This window comes from Homo sapiens, chromosome 2, assembly GCF_000001405.40.
Source record: "Homo sapiens chromosome 2, GRCh38.p14 Primary Assembly".
In the NCBI taxonomy this organism is placed as follows: domain Eukaryota; kingdom Metazoa; phylum Chordata; class Mammalia; order Primates; family Hominidae; genus Homo; species Homo sapiens.
Genome location: NC_000002.12, coordinates 151,487,480 through 151,511,377, shown reverse-complemented (window position 1 = coordinate 151,511,377; position 23,898 = coordinate 151,487,480). Strand labels below are relative to the sequence as shown.

The 23,898-nt window shown below is 37.8% G+C and overlaps 2 protein-coding genes across 66 annotated transcripts in view; one reads left to right on the top strand and one right to left on the bottom strand.

Moving 5' to 3' along the window:
- Positions 1-23,898, bottom strand: part of RIF1 (replication timing regulatory factor 1) — a 124,534-nt gene that overhangs the window by 23,058 nt on the left and 77,578 nt on the right. For 3 of the 19 annotated variants that reach the window (XR_007077536.1, XR_007077539.1, XR_007077547.1), the window contains 4 exons: positions 16,052-16,149; positions 11,838-11,973; positions 8,193-8,344; positions 4,328-5,168 (listed from right to left, as the gene is read on the bottom strand). The exons of 4 other annotated variants lie outside the window; for them this stretch is intronic. The gene's annotated coding sequence lies outside the window, so the exon portion shown is untranslated. Of the gene's footprint in view, positions 1-3,364; positions 5,169-8,192; positions 8,345-11,837; positions 16,150-23,898 lie in introns of those variants that run through there. 12 more of the 19 variants (XR_007077533.1, XR_007077541.1, XR_007077530.1 and 9 more) reach the window with 8 other exon arrangements.
- The window catches only part of NEB (nebulin), a 249,138-nt gene that overhangs the window by 223,099 nt on the left and 2,141 nt on the right, over positions 1-23,898 (top strand). For 9 of the 47 annotated variants that reach the window (XM_011511227.3, XM_011511226.3, XM_005246613.3 and 6 more), the window contains 20 exons: positions 3,269-3,373; positions 4,365-4,469; positions 5,120-5,212; positions 5,808-5,900; positions 7,937-8,029; positions 8,493-8,585; positions 9,895-9,987; positions 11,988-12,080; positions 13,026-13,118; positions 13,660-13,752; positions 14,345-14,437; positions 15,010-15,102; positions 17,125-17,217; positions 17,511-17,603; positions 17,933-18,025; positions 18,884-18,991; positions 19,097-19,280; positions 19,603-19,695; positions 20,860-21,006; positions 21,301-21,407. In XM_011511227.3, the coding sequence (XP_011509529.1) occupies positions 3,269-3,373; positions 4,365-4,469; positions 5,120-5,212; positions 5,808-5,900; positions 7,937-8,029; positions 8,493-8,585; positions 9,895-9,987; positions 11,988-12,080; positions 13,026-13,118; positions 13,660-13,752; positions 14,345-14,437; positions 15,010-15,102; positions 17,125-17,217; positions 17,511-17,603; positions 17,933-18,025; positions 18,884-18,991; positions 19,097-19,280; positions 19,603-19,695; positions 20,860-21,006; positions 21,301-21,407 (2,058 nt within the window). Of the gene's footprint in view, positions 1-3,268; positions 3,374-4,364; positions 4,470-5,119; positions 5,213-5,807; positions 5,901-7,936; positions 8,030-8,492; positions 8,586-9,894; positions 9,988-11,987; positions 12,081-13,025; positions 13,155-13,659; positions 13,753-14,344; positions 14,438-15,009; positions 15,103-17,124; positions 17,218-17,510; positions 17,604-17,932; positions 18,026-18,883; positions 18,992-19,096; positions 19,281-19,602; positions 19,696-20,859; positions 21,007-21,300; positions 21,408-23,898 lie in introns of those variants that run through there. The other 38 variants (XM_047444477.1, XM_005246594.3, NM_004543.5 and 35 more) reach the window with 34 other exon arrangements.

Below are 23,898 nucleotides of genomic sequence, written 5' to 3'. Positions count from 1 at the left end.
ATTACACATGAAAAATATAGTTATCACTAGAGAGTGGTTTGATTAGGAAGCAGGTATATTCAAATGGTGGAAATGTTTCTTTTCTTTGAAGGGTAGGGATGCAGAAGAATAATTAGCTTTTTAAAAACTACCAAAATGATATGGGCTCCAAATTACCATGTTGTGTTCACTGAGGGAGCCAGGGAGGCTGATATTCTTTGGGCTGTGAGAGCCTCACCAGCCTTTTACCTTCTGCTTTTGACACTGCTGATCTTTAACGAAAGCTTCAGCATGTGGACCTATCCCAGTGTGGGATCACGTCACTTGCTCTGCTCTCCTGGGGCTCTCTTTGGCTGGTTCCTCAAGGCCTAAAATATAGCCAGGCAAGTTAGTTCCTCCCCAATTCAGATCAGTATTTACAGTTGAATGGTAAATACTGGTGAGATGGTGCTTGTGTTTCCACAAACTTGCTTCTCGATTTCCAATGGAGAATCTGTATTTATAACTCTTAAACCTCATACTTGGGGGTTAATACAAGCAATGTAAGCTGACTCACAAATTTAGGATACTATACAGTAGTCTCCTCTTATCCGAGGGGGATATGTTCCAAGACCTCTAGTGGATGCCTGAAATTACAGACAATACCTAACCCTATATATACTGGTTTTTCCTATACATATACACCTATGACAAAGCTTAATTTGTAAATTAGCACAGTAAGAGATTAACAACAATAACTAATAAAATAGAACAATTATAACAATATACTGTAATAAAAGTTATATAGTTACATGAATGTGGTCTCTCTCTCTCCCTCAGAATATCTTATTGTAATGTACTCTTATTTTTGACCGAGGTTGACTACAGTTAACTGAAACCGTGGAAAGTGAAACCTCAGATAAGTGGGGACTACTGTACTGAATACTTAATGCCAGTATGGCAGGCCAGGTCTCACTAACAACTGTTTGAGTACTAAATGAATGGTTAAGTTAGATATTAAAAGCCAGTGTCCCTGTACAAAGGCTGGGATGTAACAAAAGCCCACCAAAAGTTTCGGCTAGGCCTTTCCTGGGCCTTAAAGCATAACAAAATAATGAAGGAATTCTTAACAGGACCCATGTAGAATTAAACAAGTTTTACTGTGGGTCTAAAAAAAACTCCCCAGGCCTCCACAAACAAGTTTATTGGGGGTCTGAAGAAACTCCTCAAACCTCCCTGATTTAGCAGGAGACAACATACGAGTAATCACCCCAGCACCTGAACCCATTTAAATTAAGTAAATTTACTGAGGCTCCAGAGGAAGGTCTTCAGAACTCAGACCTTAGTTATAAATTAAAAGAAGTTAATCACTTATGTCTTTAGATGAATGAACACTTACACAAAGACATATAGCTTAAAAGGTAAGCTCTGAAAAACTTTGTAATTTTGAGTTGGCCTGGTGATAATTTCCAGGCCTTCTCCCGGTAACCAGTTACAGAAATAAAAACTCTTGGTCGGGCGCAGTGGCTCGCGCCTGTAATCCCAGGACTTTGGGAGACCGAGGTGGGTGGATCATGAGGTCAGGAGATTGAGACCATCCTGACCAACATGGTGAAACCCCATCATTAGCTGGTTGTGGTGGTGCACACCTGTAATCCCAGCTACTCGGAAGCCTGAGGCAGGAGAATTGCTTGAACCAGGGAGTCAGAGGTTGCAGTGAGCCAAGATCACGTCACTGGACTCTAGCCTGGAGACACTGCGAAACTCCGCCTCAAAAAACAAAAAACCAAACAAACAAAAAAAAAACCTCTCTTCCTCCCCAGTTCATCTGCATTTCATTATTGGGCCACGAGAAATAGCAGTCCAACCCTCAATTTGGTCTGGGAACACCAGGGAGTTCAGGTCCCTTTCTCCCAGAATACATCCAAGTTCTGTGTGCAAATGTGATTATCCCTCTAAGGGATTAGCACCAGCTCTGCAAACCAGTTGAGGTAGCTTTTGCTTAATCTTGGAAAAAATAAAAGAAAAACAATAAAAATAAAATAAAAGGACGATTGTTTCTATTCTTTTCCCAGGACAATGAGAACTGTTTTCCTTACATCTACATAGCTAAGGAGTCATCCAGGTGACTTTTTCATGAACAAAACATTTGTTCATGATGAACTACCGTTTCTTCCGAAAAATCTGGCTTTAATTCGCTTCCATTTAGATGAACAAAATCTAGGCCTACATCTCTCATTGGCTGAAACTGCTTGTTTGTTGTCTCTGGCAAGATTACAAATTTCAATACTTATAAATGTAATTCCTATATTAACAAAGTACATAGAGACAGACAGAATAGTTTTATCCCCATTATAACAGTGGCTAGTCTCATTCCTCAGCCCTCAGCCCTACAAACTAAAACTTCCCTGAAGAGTGGGAAAAACTGGAGCTAAGTTAAGCTAGAGAGAAAAGTGAAAGGACAGTGACAAGCGATGATGAAAGAAAAATAAGGCTCTAAAGTGTTCTGCTGCAGAGAATAAAAACAATCATCAGTTTGGTGGTGAGATTGACTGCCCACTGGTGTCTGGAAGAGCAGCCTCTATATGGACACGTCTCTCCAGCCAAAGGCTGGGGCAGGACAGGGGAGCCCAAGGAATAGTGATGTCTGGTTCAGAGCAGTCCTTGGCCAGTCAGCTGGCCTTAGTAGTGCTCCAGGTGTGTCTGTTTGGTAGAGCTGCCAGTCCTGTCAGGCTGCTTTCTGCAGCATCAAGAGCCATATTCTGGAAATGCCTCTGGGCCTGCCTGTCTGACTGCCGGCTCAGTCCTATAGCTGGGAGCCCTGACCGCACCTGCTCATGGCTCAGTGAACATCTTGTCACCAGCTAAGGCTTTCTAGAGGTCATGTCTTTGACTCTTAACCCTCCAGCTTCTCTCCGCCTGCCTGTTGAACAGTCTGGCTACATAGCTTCATCCAGCCCAGCGAGGACTACTGCCACTGGAGGCATCCCCATCTCCCTCTCTGGGCCTTGCTGGCTGTGACCTTCCTCCTGTGGACCAGCTAGCAAGGTTCCCCCTCTGCCAGCTTTGCCATGACAATAGGTCCTACTGAATGTCTGGGCTTAGCTTTCCTGGAAAGAAAAAGTATGGTGCTCTTTCTTTGACTGAGAGGGTTCTTCCTTGCGATGCCCTAACATCCTTGGACAGTTAAGAAAATACAAAGGACTTTCCCTCTGCTGAGCCTGGAAGGGCTAAAATAGCCTATTTTAGGTCCCATTGGCCTATATCCCTGTGGTGTTTACCCTCCTTATTTCTTGGAATCTATTCCCAGAAAAAGTACAAGGAAGATGCTGAGAAGTCCATGTCGTATTATGAGACTGTTTTGGACACCCCAGAGATACAGAGAGTCCGGGAGAACCAAAAGAACTTCAGCCTTGTAAGTTTTTATTAAATGTAAGGCACAGCCCACAGGCACCTAGGGGTGCTGAGGAAGATGCCTCTGGATATCCCAGGCTTGCAGTGGGGCTGTTGTGCAGCCCTCCACAACTCCCATCCTGCCCCAGGAAATGTGTGCCCAATTCATCTCTGGGCTCACCTTGTATCTTAATCCCAAATCACAGCATGAAAGACTCATCTGTTACTTCGTTGGTGGTATTGGGGAGAAAATATAGTATCTTTTCCTCACCCATGGCAAGGTTCATGGCGAAAACCCCTGTAACAAAAGACAGATTAACAAGAGAGACACACAATTTATTCAATAAAAGCTTCAGAAATGACTACCCAAAGAAACAGGGAAATATGTGTATTTTTATGGATAGAGATGCGGAAGTGTGATTGGACAAAGAGGGGTATGATCCAATGGTAATAAACAGGGGATTTAGCGATGGCTGTTTGTTCAGATTCTCCTAGTATCTCTGTGTCTTTGGCTCCTTTCCTCTGGGTCTAGGGAGGACCCTTCTGGAAGGAGAGGCTTATTGCCTGCTTTAAATGAAGGTCAGATAATTATTATCTGCTTCAGGAAAAAACAGAGAAGGCCAGAAAAACCCTCCTGCTTCTGCTGTTTTTTCAAATGCCAAGGTGCCATTATTTTGGGGTAGTGTATCCTAAACCCTGTCAGTGGCTTCCTTTACTGAATGTGAACTATCACTGCTTTCCATTAGTGGAGACATCTATCTTTTTCAAAGTTAAATCTACTAAGCAAGGGATACTTAAACAAAAACAAACCCCTAGCTTTATATGTTTTTTAAAATTAGTTTCTCCACAAAATTCTTATCAAATAATTTCCCTTGGGCTACCAGACCATAATTATTGTGCATAGACTTTTTTTTAAAGATACAGGATTTTAATTTTCTTCACATAATATAGGACAAATAAAGAAAACAAAGCAATGTTGAAATCTTAACAAGATGTTTACTCTTTCTTCATAGCTCCAATACCAGTGTGACCTTAAAAACAGTAAAGGAAAAATTACAGTTGTTCAAGACACGCCAGAAATACTGCGTGTAAAAGAAAATCAGAAGAATTTCAGCTCGGTATATTTACTATTTATTTTGCATTTAATGCTAACCTAGTCATTTCACTCTCCTCTTTAAAAATATACTAGCCTTATATTGATACACACAATTAACATCTAACCTCCTCAGTAATACTAGCAGTGATTTGCTAAAATCCCCAATACTTTGCTCCAAAATCATCTCCAGAGACCATTTGAAATAACTTTAAATCTGCTAACAACGTAACTTTTATTTTTAAATTTTTTAATCCCAGGGCAGTAACATGTGTTGTCTTGCTCCAAGAAGATGGATTTCTTTTTGACATTGTGATTTCTTTTGTTATCCCTCCCCCAAATAACTGACTGAGTTTGCATTTCTTTAATGGATTTTGTGTTACATATGGGGAGGGTTTTGTTGTTAATCAACATTTCCTGGCTCTTCTCATCCTGTGTTAGTATGGTATACCACAATCTTAGAAGAAATCTTAAGATCTGGAAAGATCCATGTTGTATAACTGGTCTGAGTCACTGATACTGACATGGAAATGTCAGGTGCGATGCTCTGGCACTTGCCTGGGAACATCGTCTAGTGTCTTGTTTTCACAAAAGCCATGTGTCCTAGTCTTTCTCCAGGAACTGCTGGGTTTTCTTTTCTTCTGTGTTAACACTGTCCTGATTCTGAATGCCCAGGTTTTATATAAAGAGGATGTCTCACCAGGAACGGCTATCGGAAAGACACCTGAGATGATGAGAGTGAAACAAACACAGGACCACATTAGCTCGGTAAAGACACAGTGAATGCACTTGCAATATTTTCTGCCTCCCTTTGATAATTTACAATGACCTATGAGTTGCACTCAAAGCCTCTGTCACCAGAAACAGCTTATATTGCTAAAATAGGTGCCTGTGTACCACCACCACACAGTGGCTAGAGTCATCTCATATTCAGTGCAGTGCCTTGGCGGTTTTCATGAGGGAGAGATTAGATCTGAAAAACAGAGAGGCTTGTGAGAAGGTAGAATCCGGTACAGTCAAAGAACCAACCTTCCTGGATATATGTATGTCAATCTGTTTATCCTAGTCAAACGACCTGCTGGGCATAAAGACATTGGAGTATACAGGAAAGGGCTGCAGTCTAAATAGGGGCCCCCATCCCTGCCCCAAAGAGACGAGAGAGAGACAAAGCGTCCCTGTCCTTGGAATTGTTCTCCTCTTACCCAGTATCAGAATGAGGTCCCATTCACACTAAGTATAAAGCCTGCGTTATTTACACTGTTAATTTTTTTAATTTGGGGGCTACAAAAAACATGTACATGTTGGGAAGAATAACAGTCCAGCATGTAATAATACCTTTCTTTTCCCATTTTTAAATCTGCAGGTGAAGTATAAGGAAGCAATAGGACAAGGAACTCCAATCCCTGACCTGCCTGAAGTGAAACGTGTGAAGGAGACGCAGAAGCACATTAGCTCGGTAGTGGCCATACTCTCAGCTTCCATTTGTGTGACTGGCCATCTCTCAATTGCTACCCTGGTGCTCTCTCATCTTTCTGCTTCCTATCAAGAGCTTCCATGCCTTGGGGATGTTGTGAATTCTCCCTTAGTCTTGATGGGGTCACTACAGGTTGCAAAAGTAGATAAGAAACCACTTTTCTCATAATCAAGGAGTAGAAGGGATTTGGCTTTCTTTTCCTACCTGTCACTGACTTGAAGCTCATGGACTTGGCTTCTTAATTAATTATCATGCCATTCGTTTCCAAAGTAAAATGTTTTGATGGTAGTAATAAGGTTATTGGGATGATCTCAAGTAATTTAACTAAAAGCATATACATATAAACATATAAGTAGTATAACATACTTTGGTTTTGTGTATATATATAAAACATGTGTGTGTGTATGTATGACACATCATATGAATGATAGGATTCCCAGTGTCCAAAAAGACCCTGGGTAGACATGTGAAGTCTCTTCTCCCCTCCCTTTCAAGGTTTCTTCTCCTGTATTCTTTGCTCTCTCCATCTAGTAAATGCAGTGGTACAGGCTGCGATCTACCTACAATGGTATATTATACATTAAGCCTGTTCTGTCATGGGAATTTCAGGCACCTGTGCAGTTTATTGCAGGGCACGTGTCCCCCACACCTGAAATATCAGGTTAGCACATTTCTCCTGACCTTTTGTCAAGCAAGCCCTGGCTCTGCACCCACCCCTTTTCCCATCCATACGCAGATTCTAGGCAGGTGTTGGCTACTAGCAAAAGACTATGTGAAGTTTGGGAAATAGTTTATGGCCAATAAAAGGGGAGGACCTTGGTCTTGGGATTCCCCTGGTCAATGGAGGACTGAACTCTCATTTGATTTTCTTTAGGATACTTGATATTTCTCTTGCAGGTTGTTCATATTATTTAGATCTCATTCCCTTCTCACTCTCTGCTTATACTCTGTGGTACAGATTTCCTTGTGGTACAAATTTCATTTAGAGTTTTGTGTCCTCTAATAAGAGTTGAGAAAGCTAGCCTAGGCTCCTTTGTCACTTTGCATTACAACTTCTTGGTTTTCTTTAATTTTGCTTTGTGCTGTTGTCCGAGATCAATTCTGCTGCTTTGTTGGGTGAAGAGTAAAGAAATGCAACTTTGTTACCAAGAAGGTAGATGTTCAAAGGTTCCTAGAAGCTTCCTTGCAAAACAAAGCTATCACGCCTAGCTTGTCACTGATTTTAAGAATTAAAATCTGGGTACGTTGCTCCCCACGCCATGCACTAATACACCAGGGAATCCATCCATTTAAAAGAACTCATTCAGTCCTTTAGGCTGAAAACTTAATGTTAAGAGTTAAGGAGGCTCAGAGAGTGGAGGTTCCTTAATGTTTTCATTAAAATGCATAGTCCTTAGATACTACTACTAAAAAATATGGACTTCTCCCAATTCAGAAAACACTAGTTTACTTGATCCAGCAATTAGCAGTAAAAATTTCAGGTAAAGATGCTCTTCCTGAAAAATAAACTGATTAAGCCATCTCACATCCAGGGACTAGGCTCCTACAGATTAGGAGCCAGCGAGGAACATTCATTAGAACATACAAAACAAAAAGAAAATTCTCAATAAGCCTGAAGGAATAGAGTATCCTATGATTGGAAAATTTTAAACCAAGCAATCTATTCATTAAGTACAAGTCTACTGCAGGCCTACTATATTTGAGGCACCAAAGCTAGATGCAACAAAATGGTTAGATTTTTCTCATTGGTAAATTTATTTATTAATGCATTTTAGGCATGCACTAAGTGGTTACAGAAAATGCATAATTTAGTGCCCAGTTTTCAAAGTAGTAAAAATTTTTACTATTTTGGAAAAGACAACATAAATATTCATGGAATTTTCCCCCCTGTTCCTTGAATGTTATATTTGAGAGCTAGATTGTTTTTATGAGTTTCCCCCAAATAGCCCACATGTGGCTGCTATCTAAAGGATTTACGGTCATTTTACCTTTCTGGGTATTCTAATTATTTTCTACAGGTTATGTACAAAGAAAACTTGGGAACAGGCATTCCAACCACTGTGACTCCAGAGATTGAGAGAGTCAAACGCAATCAAGAGAACTTTAGCTCGGTATTTACAAATATATCATATAAGAAACTATTTCCCATAAAAAATTTACCACAATAACCCATCTTTTTTAAAGAAAGTAACATCTTAACAGCAATTCTGTGTGTGTCTGTGTGTGTTGTGTATTATTACCTGACCAAAATTATGTTAATACAAAATGACTCACATTTCCGATTATACTTGAACATTTTCAGTGACTTGACTAGATTTGAAATACTATAAGTAGAATTAACAAGATTCCTCAGCGTTATATAACTTAATGCTTTCCATTGTACTTTTTCATTTCCAGAATTAGCATTGTAGAGTTCATCATTAAAACTGTGAAAAAAGTAAAAACATTATCCTTACTAAATATTACTTACTAAAAAACTGCCTCCTCACATATAACCCCTTCCCCCATTTCCTTCCTTCCTTACTCTCTGTGCCTGTTTTAAATGTCCTCTGGGTACTTTCTTGTATCTCACAGGTTTTGTACAAAGAAAATTTGGGGAAAGGAATCCCAACACCTATCACTCCAGAGATGGAGAGAGTCAAACGCAATCAAGAGAACTTTAGCTCGGTATTTCTTAGGGGGCCAAAAAAAAAAAAATCCCTTAATTTTATTTAAAATAATAACACCTTACAAATGTAAAATTACTAAATTCATATAATGAAAATAATGATACCAAATATTACCTCAGTTTTCAACCCAAATCTAATTTAGTATTTAGTTCTGGTGTGAAATTTTAACTGTGTTTTCTCTAAAACATAGATATTTATCACTTTCTTTAAAAACCTGTAATACTCTGTTTTCTTCCTCCATTCCTCCTTTAATAACAGTAGGTGTTTCTAACTGGTGTAACACAGTCAAAAGTAAAATCTAACACCCTTTCAAAAGGACAATGTTAATTAGAATTTTATTTGTATTTATTGTGGCTGTTTAATGTATTCTTTATGTTTGCAGCTTTTAAGTTTTTTTTTTTTTATGTTTAGATGTTTATTTATTTTTCCATAAGTTTGGGAGGTACAGGTGGTATTTGGTTACTAAGTTCTTTAGTGGTGACTTGTGAGATTTTGGTGCACCCATCACCCAAGCAGTATACACTGCACCATATTTGTAGTGTTTTATTCCCTCGCCTCACTTCCACTCTTTCCTGCAAGTCCCCAAAGTTCACTGTATCATTCTTATGCCTTTGCATCCTCATAGCTTAGTTCCCACATATCAGTGAGAACATACAATGTTTGGTTTTCCATTCCTGAGTTACTTCACTTACAATACTAGTCTCCAATCTCATTAGAGGTCACTGGTTTGCAGCTTTTCTTAAAAGAATGTCATTCTTAAACATTTTCATTCAAAGACAACACAGCAATTCACAGTAAATATAATTTACTTGTCTTGGCTATTTTTTGTATGCTATGTAAGATATAAATTAATTTTTCCTTTGGAAAACTTTCAGTATCATTGAAAGCTAGTATTATTTAGCTTTCAACATTTATTCTTTATTTTGTTCCCCCAAACCTACCTGTCTCTCTCTCTCCTCTTTCTTTGGTTCCCTAATTTAATGTTACCAACAACTCATGGATATTAATTTCAATTAGTTTGAATGCTATTTGATACTCTGGTCTTTGAGAGAAGGCCTACATAAGTCAAGCCACTCCTGCCGGCAGCCTGGCAGCTGTGTTTTACTGATGTCTTTTAGAGACAGACATCCTGTGTGTGACTAAATGTCCAAAGGGGATCTATAGTTAACTCTATTTTTAAAAGTTACTGAGGTACTTCATCATAAAAACAACAATAAAAATACTTCTTTTAGGCTGTTTTTTTAGGTTAAGTCTACCTAAAAAATGATGGGTCCAGGTTGATTTGTTTGTTGGTTTTGTGCACACAGATATTGTACAAAGAGAACTTGAGCAAGGGGACTCCCCTACCTGTCACTCCTGAGATGGAGCGAGTCAAACTCAATCAAGAAAACTTTAGCTCGGTATTTGGGAGAAAGCTCTTTAACTCCATATTAAAAAATAATAATTTCTACAAAACAGAACATCTCACTGTTCATCCCTTTATAATAATCAATTTAACAAAATCTTTTTTTAATCACATCAACTGAATCCTTCTGTTTTCCAGATCTCCTACTCACCATTTGATTCTAACAAACATTTTATACTTTCTATAATAGTCCCTTAAAACTTTTTCTTTCCTTCTCTTTTCATCTTTATGTTGTTGGGACTGTTGAAGTTAATTGATTTCCAGAAAAGAAAAACCAAACACTAAAGCTCTTATTTACTTGGAACTCTTTTTATCTGATGTTTCTGGGTTAGAGATGCAAGAAAAGATACTGGACTTGAAGCCACATATAGAAATGGTGGCTCTTCCTTAGGAACAGGGATCATCTTAACATAGACCCTATTCAGATAAACAATAGCACCAAGAAAGAAAATTGCTCCATATTGAAACCAAAAGAAATCTTATTTGGGGCCAGGCGTGGTGGCTCACACCTGTCACCTCAGCACTTTGGGAGGTCGAGGCAGGCAGATCACTTGAGCCCAGGAGGTCGAGACCAGCCTAGCCAACATGGTGAAATTCCATCTCTGCTAAAAATAGAAAAAATTAGCCAAGCGTGGTGGCACATGCCTGTAGTCTCAGCTACTTGGGAGGCTGAGGTGGGAGGTTCATCTGAACCCTAGGAAGTCAAGGCTGCAGTGAGCCGTGATTGTGCCACTGTACTCCAGCCTAGGCAACAGGAGTGAGACCCTGTTTCAAAAAAAAAAAAAAAAAAAAGGAAGAAAGAAATCTTATTTTGATACTTATTCAAAACAAGCCATTTCATGAATAGAAATCCAGGCCTTCTGATTTTTTTTTAATATACAAATCAGATCATGAGCTTATATTTAATGTTATCTTTTATTAATATTGTTGCTGAAAAACTCTAACACACAAATTATTTGTGTATTATATACAACTCTGAAGCTTCTATATCAAGACCTTAGGTTCACTTATACCTGTGATGGAGAATCAAATGTCATTAGGAAAATTTAGATGGATTTTTTTCTGGGGAGTGGGAATTAATCCAAAATATTTTTAATTGTCAGTTTAAATATATTCTAAAAGTTTGATTCTTTGACATAATTAGATCAGTAACTTTCTTTGGTCCCACTGTCTTTTTGTTCTGTTTTGTTTTTTAATTACTATTCACTAACAATCCTTCAATTTTGTTAAATTTTCAATGTTAATATGTCTTTTGGAATGTTATACTCATTGTTTTCCCTGTGGGTTGTAATTATTATTCCTTTTATTGAAAGGCTTGCAACGATTTTCAAAATTATTTTCTAATTATTTTCTTGTATACTACAGTAAGTATATTATTATTTGTATCTATTTGAAACCTTAATGATCCTGGACTTTTTTTAAAGTAACCATTTGTGTTAATTTTTACACAGATTGCATTTAGGCAAAATTGCCCAGTGGTGCATAAGCCTATTAGATACTGTGGAAAATAGACAATGCCACATATTGAACCTCTATACTTGACCATCTCTACAACAACTTGAACTTAATGACAAGGACCAAATTGCCATATTGCATAGATTTGGCCTGTTAAATATTTGTTAGACCGTAAGACAAACGCTTTTTGTAGAGAAAATAAATACTTGCTAATCTAACTTAAGCAATTTTTCTATTGTACACTGAGTATTTTAGTGGTCTTAGGAAATTATTTGTATTTTTTTCCTTAATTCCTGGCACAGGAAATAAATATATTCAAGTTACAATAAAAAGATGATGAATATCAAATACACTGATATTTCACTAAGGAAATACAAAACATGTTCTCACCCAGATCTGTGCCTGAACAGAGAGGTTGACTTGTTGAATCTGTCTTTTCTGTCTGACGTCTGTAGTTTTATACCAGGTTCCCCACAAGGTAGATGAAAGGGCTGTTTTGACTGCTCTTGTTTTTTCTGGATGCTTTCTTGTGTCATACAGGTGTTGTATAAAGAAAACGTTGGAAAAGGGATTCCAATCCCCATCACTCCAGAGATGGAGAGAGTCAAACACAATCAAGAAAACTTTAGTTCGGTATTTAAAAATAAAAAATCCCTTTAATTATTTAAAAAAATGTTTAAAAAGATTAATGGCTAGATTTTAAAAATCTAATCAACTCATCCCAATAAAAAATTTGACCTGTCTTTTTCCCAACTTAATGCTGCCATTTCCTATGAATCAGTTTTCCCCATTTTGGTAAAACATTAATATAATCATTTAACTTAATAAAAAAAGTGTTCAGTATTATATTCCTGCTTTTACAAATGTAACATTCTCAGTGTCTAAGCATCCACATTTATACTGCTTTGGCAAATTTGATCTGAACCTAAAGCTTAAACAAATGTATTTTGCAAAGATCCGACTATTATCCTCGTTTCTTATTCTAACCTTTTCTATCTCTACTGTTATTTGTACAGATATTTTGAAGTTTCTTTTTTTTAGCACCTTATCATTGCTCTCCATTTGCCTTAAACATCGTTGTTCTCAATGTGTTCACCCAAACTAAAAATTAAATACTCTGACTTCTTTTGAAAGTGAACAAAAGAAGAGTTGTGTGTATGTGTCTCCATATACACAATGTTTGTAAAACCCAAATATCCCTATGTGATTAACAGCATTTTCAAATCAAAAGTAACTTCCTTGGTTTCTTGTCTGTTTCTACTTTTTTCCCTCCTTGTAACAAGGTGGGAAAAGACTAATTGCTCTTTCACGGTTGCTCAGTGCTGCAGAGATTAGTTCAAACAATGAAAATAACAACCTTTCTTTTCCTATTTCTTAGTTTTTGCTGCTCTTTCCTGCATTCCTTTGCTTTTGAAGATGTCTTTAGGCTCAAACAAACAGGTTGAGTCTAAAAGCTTCTGGTATTTCTCTTCCTCTAACTTACTCTCTTCCTCCCTTCCCACTCCCAACTGCTCCAAAGCAGGGGGAAAATGACTGATTGATTGCTTTTTTTGTTCTGGATGCTTTCTCATCATACAGGTGCTATACAAAGAAAACCTGGGGACAGGAATTCCAATCCCCATCACTCCTGAGATGCAGAGAGTCAAACACAATCAAGAAAACCTTAGCTCGGTATTTTGGAAAGAAAGGGGAAAAAATGCCACTTAACTTCAGAATTAAACTGATCTTTACATTTATTTATTTTTGTTTGAAGCCCATTTCCCTTCTTTGCTTCTAATACATCTTATATTACAAAAGGATATACTTTCCCATTTCTATAATACAGTTAATGTCAATTTTTTACTTCATCTGATATTTACAAACAAACATGTTTTAAAAATAATGAATGTTTCCATTTGTGTGGATAACAACACCGAGTTCTAACAGTCTCAAATCCTCATGTGATTGTTTAGGAGGCACCGTACTCACAAAAATGAAAAAAAATAACATGGATAACTCTGACAGCCCTTCCTCAGCAGCTGAAGTCCCTGCTTCTCTAGAGGGTGCAGATTCCCTATCCCAACAACAGCTTCCACTAAAGTAGTCGGTGGCATTTTGTCAGCATATAACTTCTGGCTCCTTGGATGACTGTGTTTTTTCCTCATCCTTAAAAAGTCCCAAGAAATGAAATGTTACTCATGGTTGTTTTTCTGGATGCTTTCTTATCGCACAGGTGTTATACAAAGAAAACATGGGCAAGGGAACCCCTTTACCTGTCACTCCCGAGATGGAAAGAGTCAAACACAATCAAGAAAATATTAGCTCGGTACTTTGGCAAGAAAAGAAAAAAACTACTTATTTAATGATTTTGAAAACTTTCATGATTTAAAATAATACGTATTAATCCTACTTTTTAAAGACAACTTAAATTTTGTGAATTTCTTTAGCAAATTTATCCTTTTTTCCTTTGGGCTACTTCTAGCCTAACACCATTCCCATTTCTATAATACAGTTAATTTCAATTTTTTATTTCATCTGGTATTTTCAATCTTTTTTTTAAAATAATGAGTTTTTCAGTTTGTGTGGATAACACCACTGAGTTCTAACTGTCTCAAATCCTCATATAATTGTTTAGGAGGCATGGTACTCACAAAAAAGGAAAAAAAAAAATAACATGGATAACTCTGACAGCCTTTCCCCAGCAGCTGAGGTCCCTGCTTCTCTAGAGGGTGCAGATTCCCCATCCCAACAACTTCCACTAAAGTAAAGTAGTCGGTGGCATTTTGTCAGCATATAACTTCTGGCTCCTTGGACAACTGTGTTTTGTCTTAACAAGGAAGCTGACCTTACCCTTAAAACCTTTCAACAAATGAAATGTTACTCATGGTTGTTTTTCTGGTTGCTTTCTTATCGCACAGGTGTTATACAAAGAAAACATGGGCAAGGGAACCCCTCTACCTGTCACTCCTGAGATGGAGAGAGTCAAACACAATCAAGAAAATATTAGCTCGGTACTTGGGCAAGAAAAGAAAAAAACTACTTACTGATTTTAAAAACTATTTCATGATTTAAAATAATACATATTAATCCTATTTTCTAAAGACAAATTTTGTGAACTTCTTTCTTTAGCAAATTTATCCTTTTTTCCTTTGGGCTACTTCTAGCCTAACACCATTTCCATAATACAGTTAATTTTGATTTTTTATTTCATCTGATATTTTCAATCATTTTTTAAAAATGAGTTTTTCCGTTTGTGTGGATAACAACACTGAGTTCTAACAGTCTCAAATCCTCATGTGATTGTTTAGGAGGCACCGTACTCACAAAAATGAAAAAAAATAACATGGATAACTCTGACAGCCTTTCCCCAGCAGCTGAGGTCCCTGCTTCTCTAGAGGGTGCAGATTCCCCATCCCAACAACAGCTTCCACTAAAGTAGCTGGTGGCATTTTGTCAGCATATAACTTCTGGCTCCTTGGACGACTGTGTTTTCTTAACAAGGAAGTTGACCTTACCCTTAAAACCTCTCAACAAATGAAATGTTACTCATGGTTGTTTTTCTGGATGCTTTCTCATCGCACAGGTGTTATACAAAGAAAACATGGGCAAGGGAACTCCTTTAGCTGTCACTCCCGAGATGGAGCGAGTCAAACACAATCAAGAAAATATTAGCTCGGTACTTGGCGAGAAAAGAAAAAAACTACTTACTGATTTTAAAAACTACTTTTATGATTTAAAATAATACATATTAATCCTACTTTTTAAAGACAACTTAAATTTTGTGAAATTTCTTTAGCAAATTTACCCTTTTTTCCTTTGGGCTACTTCTAGCCTAACCCCATAATAACAAGGTTGCTTTAATCCATAAAGTTCTAATATCAAGAAGTAACAGATTTTCCTATAAAACATCCTTTTGCTTCTCTCTCTCCAAACTTACTCTCTATCCACTACCCCCAAGGTCTCTTTGTTTTAGATATGCTTGAAATTTAGGACGGGTACGTGTGGGGTGGTGGAGTAGGTCCAATGCGGCTCTTTCTTAAATATGATTTTGTTGTGTTTTTGTGTCAATGACTTCAGGTTCTAATTTACCCTGTCAGATTTGGACAAAGAGACCTTGGGAAAAATAATCCCTGATCCCCTCCTTCAAGAATAATGATATAAATTATGATCCAATAGTAGTTTTGGCAATTATTGATTATCAATTTACTTACTTAAAAATGAAAGTGTCACCAGAATGGCTTTTTGTTTTACCAGTTTTCGTTTTTTGTTTGTTGTTGTTGTTGTTCTTTAGTTTTACTGTAGTCTTTAACTGCAAACTTTAGTAAACCATTTCCCGTAAGCTTGTGCTCTGTGACATTATATATGGTTGTAAATTACCTAGGGATTGAGGTTTGCAGGGGGACTTCAGCTTTCAGTAGCAAACAACCTTGTGGTGTCCACATTTCCACTATCTGTAGGTTTCTCCAGTACTTGAGTACAGTGCTTCTAAAACATTAGCACGCATCAGAATAACGTGCAGGGTTTGTGAAGCCAGATTGCTGGGTCCTGCTCTAGTTTCTCATTCTGTAGGTCTGTTATAGAGGGGGCCAGAGAATTTGCATTTTTAACAAGTTCTCATTACTGACCTTGCTGTCCAAGGACCCCACGTTGAGAATCACTATTTCAACAGAATTCTTCCTCTTCAATGTCATTTCCTAAATCTCCCACGTTTCCAAGAATGACACTGAGGGGAGATACCGAGGTTGAGGATTTATCATGATGTGTTACTATGTTTCTCATTTTCCACTGATTCGCCATGATAGTGATATAAGAGCCAAAAACCTTATTCCTTAATGATAAGCTGAATGTTGTATGAAACTAAAGCAAGAGGCAGAGCATAGAGGATAGCAAAGAAAAAGAGGGTAGGGGAAACCCTTTGCTTTGTCTGAGGGCCTACAGTTTTACTGATATGTCTATGAGAGTTTAAGTGCTGCAAAACAGTCCAGTAAAAAAACAGCTGCTGTGGGCCAGGTGTGGTGGCTCACGCCTGTAATCCCAGCACTTTGGGAGGCCAAGGTGGGCGGATCACAAGGTCAGCAGTTCAAGACCAGCAAGACCAACATAGTGAAACCCCGTCTCTACTAAAAAATACAAAAATTAGCCGGGCATGGTGGTGCACGCCTGTAATCCCAGCTACTCAGGAGGCTGAGGCAGAAGAATCACTTGAACCCGGGAGGCGGAGGTTGCAGTGAGCAGGGATCGTGCCATTGCACTCCAGCCTGGGTGACAGAGCAAGACTCCTCTGTCTCAAAAACAAAACAAAACAAAACAAAAAAAAACAAACAGCTGATGTATTAGGAACAGCCTCAACCTTCTCAGTGTGATTGAAGCTCATGCCTGTAACTCCTGTTTGGATCATCTCTCAGGGGCTTGACATTGAGAGACTAGCGGTAAAATGATGGTGGTTTCTCATCCTTTTGAGGAACACCACAGGTCTCTCTTGCAGTCCTCAAGGGTTTCAGGGCAGGTGCCTATCCTGGTTGTGTCTTGCTGTAACTACACTTAACTTCCTTAGGAAACATACTACTTTCCATCTAACCTAATTGCCCAAATGGTTTGGGGCCCTAAAGATAATCAAAAGTTATCTGTACCATTTCCTTTTTTGGTAACTGTTAACTCTTTTTCTTTTTGGCTTTTTGGACCCATTGGATTCCCATAGGTTTTGTACAAAGAAAATGTGGGGAAAGCCACCGCAACCCCTGTCACTCCTGAGATGCAGAGAGTCAAACGCAATCAAGAAAACATTAGCTCGGTATTGTCTTGAGAAACAAAAGTGCTTTTAATTTTGCAAAATAACTCTTGCAGTTTGGCCTGCTCCTAACCCTGTCCCAGGTTAAAAACAAACAAAATGCCAGTTACATTTGCATCTGCTCTAAATATCACACTACATTTACTGTAGCCATTAACTATTTTTAAGCTTTCTTCTTGAGAGGTGTTCTCACTAATAGTAATAGATTAAACATAACATTTCCCCCCAACTTGCAATATAATTAATAGTGATTATTACCTCGTAGTGACTTTCGGGCATGACTTTGTATCTCACAGGTGTTATACAAAGAGAACCTGGGGAAAGCAACCCCCACACCCTTTACTCCTGAGATGGAAAGAGTGAAACGCAATCAAGAAAACTTTAGCTCGGTATTTTAGAAAGGAAAAATAAATCCTTAAAATCTTAACAGCCCTGGCAAACATGGTTGTACCACTAATTTATCTTACAGTTTTTCCAAAACTTTTGTGTATCTTTAAAAATTCTTCCTTGTCCACTTAAAAACAACAAACCAACCCCACGAGGTCACAGTGATTTTACTTCTTTCTTAAACTTTTGCTTCCTACCGTAACATTTTAATAGCTTTACCTTCAGTGTGATATAACTGAGCCATAACATGAGCCATAACACCAGCTAAGTGATGATTTTCAGACCTGGTTTTCTGCTGTCTGATGCCTAGATGCTCTTTTGGCTTCCCTAGGTATTGTACAAAGAGAACATGAGAAAAGCAACTCCGACACCTGTTACTCCAGAGATGGAGAGAGCTAAGCGCAACCAAGAAAACATTAGCTCGGTATTTTCTAGGACTAAAAAGAAATAGTGCAACAACTTGGAAAATAACATTTTAACATCATAAAAACACGCCTTTCTCATTCAACTGAAAAACACACTAAAATTTTAAAAGAGAAAAATGCAACATCTTGGAAAGTAACGTTTTAACACCATAAAAATTTGCACTTATTCAACTGAAAATTTACACTAAAATAGACATTAACTGTGCTTTTACATTCCAAACCATCATACTAAACATAACAAGTTAATTGCCAATGTTTTCCTTCCCCTATACTTTGAGGTAGTTCTACGTAACCAACTATAACAAATTTACTTCCTAACATCCTCAATCTTCTGCTCTCCTTTAGTTTTAAGATACTTTATGACATGGGTAATACTCTGAAATGGATGCCTTCTTTGGATATATTTTGGGGTTTTAGTGTCTGGAGGACTTTGATTTCTATATTAGCATATTGGTTTATGAAGTCTGGACACAACCTAAGGAAAATAATCACTTGTTTTAAAGGACAGTTCTTTCAAATTCCCTACAATGTCAGATTTAGAGCCAAATACCATCGAATATGTTGATGCTGTAATTCCTAGCAAATTTCAAGAGGTCACTCTCTTTTCAAAATTATACCGTGCCCCTTCTTTGAAAATGAGTTTCATTTTCGAAGTCAAAACAAGTCCTTTCTCTTCCACTGGCGGGCCCTTCTGGTCCCCAGATTAGCCTGTTCCAAAATTGGTCATGTGTCTCACTGGGCCCCTTCAGTTGACCCAAGCGTCCCTCACCAGCTCCTATCCATCTCTATCTGCTGGAAAGGCTTTGAGGTTTCAGATTTAGGACAGCACCACTCATTCACGGTCTCTCCTGCATCAGGTTCTTTATTCTGATAGTTTCCGGAAACAAATACAAGGCAAAGCTGCCTATGTATTGGATACCCCCGAGATGAGACGGGTGAGGGAGACCCAACGGCACATCTCAACGGTGAGTCAGGAATTCTTTAGGATTGGCTGGCTGCCTGTCAGAATGTGTAAAAAGGGATATAGTCACACCATCATATTTTCATAAAGCAAATTCATGACATTTCAGGTGAAATATCATGAAGACTTTGAGAAACACAAGGGTTGCTTCACACCAGTGGTGACAGATCCTATCACTGAACGAGTAAAGAAGAACATGCAGGACTTCAGTGACATTAACTACCGAGGTATTCAGAGGAAAGTGGTAGAAATGGAACAAAAACGGAATGACCAAGATCAGGAGACTATTACAGGTAACTGAGCCTGGGTTGGGGGAGGGGATTAACTTTAAGTGAGGGGGTAGAAGAACAAAAGTAGCATTACCTACATCAAGTCAAAACATAAAGGACTTCAATCTGTTTTTCTAGAGGTGCAAGAAAGCTCCTATTATCTCATAGTTTACAAAGCTGATTTCTACCTTATCTTTGTTCTCCTCTGAGGAAAAGACATGACCCAGAACCTAAGCTGGAATAAGTGTGATTCAATCCTTTGGTGGTTGTTAAAATTCATGCCTTGGTTTTCAAGTTATTGGAAAACTCCAAGAACACTTGTTCTGATCACTGGTTTCCCTTTCAGGTTTACGTGTCTGGCGTACTAATCCTGGTTCGGTTTTTGACTATGATCCAGCAGAAGACAACATCCAGTCCCGAAGCTTACACATGATTAATGGTGTGTTAGCTGAAAAAGGCTTACAACATAAACATCACCATTTAGTATGCTAGAGTCAATGACTTTCATTTGGGCTCTGAAGTTCCTTCCCTCCAGAGTTTTCCATTTTCTGAGCTGCCCATTTGGCATAAAAATACCTTGTTAACTAGTGAGCAAAACTTACTTTCTAGATAAGTTCAAGTTAGAAAAAATTTTGTTTCACTGCCTCAGTGCATGTCTCCCATTATTATCATTTCTAATTTTTCTTCCAAAGAAAAAACAGTAGTAATTCTATTGGAGAAATAATGAAAATACATAAAATACATAGGCAAAGGGAAGAGAAAGGATTTGACCTGTAGGAACTTCCTGAGCTCTATTGCATCAAGGAAGTTTATTCATTACACAAAGCAGGCTGCACAACTTCATTCCTTCTTTTCATGTTAAAAAGCAGAATACTAGCCTGGAAAAGAGAATGAGACCCCTTTTCTACAAACAGTAAAAAAAAATTAGCCGCGAGTGGTGTTGTACACCTGTAGTACCAGCTGTTCAGGGGGCTGAAGTGGGAGGATAGCTTGAGCCTAGAAAGTTGAAGCTGCAGTGAGCCGTGATTGTACCACTGCCCTTCAGCCTGAGCAACAGAGACCCCATCTCAAAAAAAAAAAAAAAGGATATTATGTAGAGACAGTCCTCAAAGGATTTATACTCCAGTTTTCTGATCAAGACACAGAAGTAAATCCATGGTTGCATTCTGACATGTGCAATTTTAAAGGTCTGCCCATGGTATTTTGGGAACACAGAGAAAGACTCTAAATTGATTTGCAGTTAGGGAGGACTTTCTGGAGAAGTTAAAGATGGAGTCTGAATGTGAATATTACTATTTATTCATTTTGGTGAGCCAGGAAAATTGGCAGGGTGGAGGGGAGATGTTACAAATAGACTCTTGGATTTGAAACCTGGCTGTACAACTTAACTGTTCCATGACCTTTGGTCATGTACGTAAGCTCTCATCTGTAAAAATAAGAAAGACAAACCTACATCAGAATAACTGTGAGGGTTTGACCCATGGGAAAGTACTTAAAACCATGCTTGGCAAAGATAACAATAACTGAGATTCAATCACTGTTAGGCATTACTACCATAGAAATTTCATGTTTGCTACATCTCCCCCAACTGCATCTCTCCCAGTCCAAGCTCAGCGCCGGAGCCGGGAGCAGTCACGATCTGCCAGTGCACTAAGCATCAGTGGGGGTGAGGAGAAGTCTGAGCATTCAGAAGCACCAGACCACCACCTTTCGACTTACAGCGACGGGGGTGTCTTTGCAGTCTCAACAGGTACAAGTGCCTGGCGCTGATTTTGGCAGTCCCACCCGGCCAGCTCATTGATGGTTACTATAAGAGATGCTTTGAGTACAAAAACAAATTTAAAAATTTTTCATCCTTTCCTTTAATGAGAAAAGACTAGAATTGTGGAGGGCTGCATGAAGTTAGATGTTTCATTTTCTTTGATTTCTCTTTTTGGAAATCATTCTAAGTTGGGGGAAAAAGACATCACTCAGCTGCTAAACACAGATTAAAGGATACCTAGCCATTTTTCTTCTTATAAAGAATTTGCCCCCTTTTTTTCAGCTTACAAACATGCAAAAACCACAGAGCTCCCACAACAACGATCATCTTCAGTTGCTACCCAACAGACAACGGTATCTTCCATCCCATCTCATCCATCTACTGCTGGAGTAAGTGAATAACAACTCACTTAAATAAATTATTCTTAATTTTTGATATGTGCAAACATGATTATAAGTATTAGGTATTACGGTTTTTTTTAACCAAACCTTCTATTTTATATAATGCTCTTTTATTACATGTTTCATATTAATGATATCAGAAAACTTTCATTATCTAACTCAAATTAATGAAAAGCATTATTCAATAACTTAAAAAAAAAACCCAAACCTAGAGCAAAGCATCAGTTTTGGCTCATTGGTCTCACCTACTATCTTAAACATTTGCTGGGCATAGTGAATCATGCCTATAATGCCAGCACTTTGGGACGCTGATGCAGGAGGATTGCTTGAGCTCAGGAGTTTGAGACCAGCCTAGGCAACATAGTGAGACTTCATCTCTACTAAAAACCAAAAAATTAGCCAGGTGTGGTGGTGCATCTATAGCCCCAGCTACTGAGGAAGTTGAGGTGGGAGGATTGCTTGAGCCTGGAAATTTGAGGTTGCAGTGAGCCATAACTGCACCACTGTACTCCAGCCTGGATGACAGAGGGAGACCCTGTCTCAAAAATCAAGAATGTATAGATGTATGCAATGTGCCCACATATATACATGCCTTATCTTAGATCTCCCCTATTAATATATATAGAAATGGTAAGCCAAATCATCTTCACAGTTCACCAGACTACTTCACAACTCTTAGTTTAAAACCCTGGATCTCATTCATAATATCCTCAAAAGCCTAATACTTTAGGATTGATATGAACAATCTTTGTATGAAGACAACTGTCTTTATTAAATGACATACAAGAAGGTCTAAATAAGTGTTAGACCTATTATATTTAAGGAAGGGAATACTGTAAAGTTCTAATTTTCCCTGAAATAAACCAATGCATTCAATTCCAATATAAATCCCAATAGCATTTAAAGAAACTGTGCTAACCCTAAAATTTGAAAAAGCTGCAAGGATAATCAAGTAAAATTTGAAAATGATAATACTTAAGGACTCAACTAAAAAAGAACAAAACATACTATAAAGCTATTAAAATTAAATATGGATTTAGCATGGCAATAGATACAAAATATCGATTTAGCATGGCAATAGATACAAAAATAGATGAAGTCCAGAAACAGACCCTAAAAGAATTATAAATCAGCAAGAAAGGGGTAAGTTATTTAATTATATGATCTGAGGTAACCAGTTATCTATTTAGTAAAATAATAAAATTAGATACCCATCTCAAAGCATAAACTGTAGCTGTACCAAAGATTTAGATGTAAAATACAAAATTGTAGAAGTACAAAGAATAATACAGAATACTTTTTTTTTATTTTTAGAGACAGGGTCTCACTCTATCACCCAGGCTGCAGTGTGGTGGCATGATCACAGCTCGCTGCAGTCTCGACTTCATGGACTCAAGCAATCCTCCAGCCTCAGCCACCAGAATAGCTAGGACTACAGGTGTATATGCCATTCTAGGCTAATTTTTTTTTTTTTTTTTTTGGTAGAGGCTCACTATGTTGCCCAGGCTGGTCTCAAACCCCTAGGCTCAAGCCCTCTGCCTGCTTTGGCCTCCTAAAATGCTGGGATTACAGGCATCAGCCACTCAGCCCGGCCACAATTATTTTAAAATATAAAGGGGAAAGCCTTCCCAGGCAAATTCCAAAATCTAGAAGTATAAAAGTCTGGCCAATTTGATCATAAAATTTTAAATGTTTCTATAACAAATAAATACAAACATGTCAGACTGGGAGAAAACATTTACAGCATACATAACAAAAATATTAATATTGAAAAAGAATAAAGAACTCTAAAATTCACTGATAAATTATTCCCCTCGCCCTCAAAATAGGACTTGGAAGACTAAGAATAGATAATTTATGGCAAAATAAATATAAATGGCCAACAGAAAAAGGTGTTCACCATGACTAGTAACCAGGAATATAAAAATAAAAGTGCTAGTAACCAAGAATATAAAAATAAGATAAAGTACATAATACAAAGTATCAAATTGAATCAAATATCATATTGTATCATATTCGAACATTTTAACAGAAAACTTAAAAAATTAGGTCAGGAATAGTGGCTCACACCTGTAATCCCAGCACTTTAGGAGGTGGGAGGACTGCTTGAGTCCAGGAGTTTAAGACCAGCCTATGCAACAAGGCAAAACCCCATCTCTATTTGTAAAATTATTTTATACATATATATATATGTGTGTATGTATAAAATAAGTTTAAACACACATGCCATTTGACCTAAAACTTTTACCTTCAAAAGCTTTTTCTTCAGAAATTATTTGCCCAAAGATAAACGGTAGGATGCTCATTATAGTGTAAGAAAAAATGGTGACAACTAAATGTCCAGAAAAATGAAAATGGCTGAATAATTCGTGATATTATTAAAATGTGAAATTCTCTGCAGCAGTCAAAAAGGGTAAGATACAGCTATATTTACATGGAAAGACTTCCAAGCTATATTAAATGGAAAGAACAAATCACA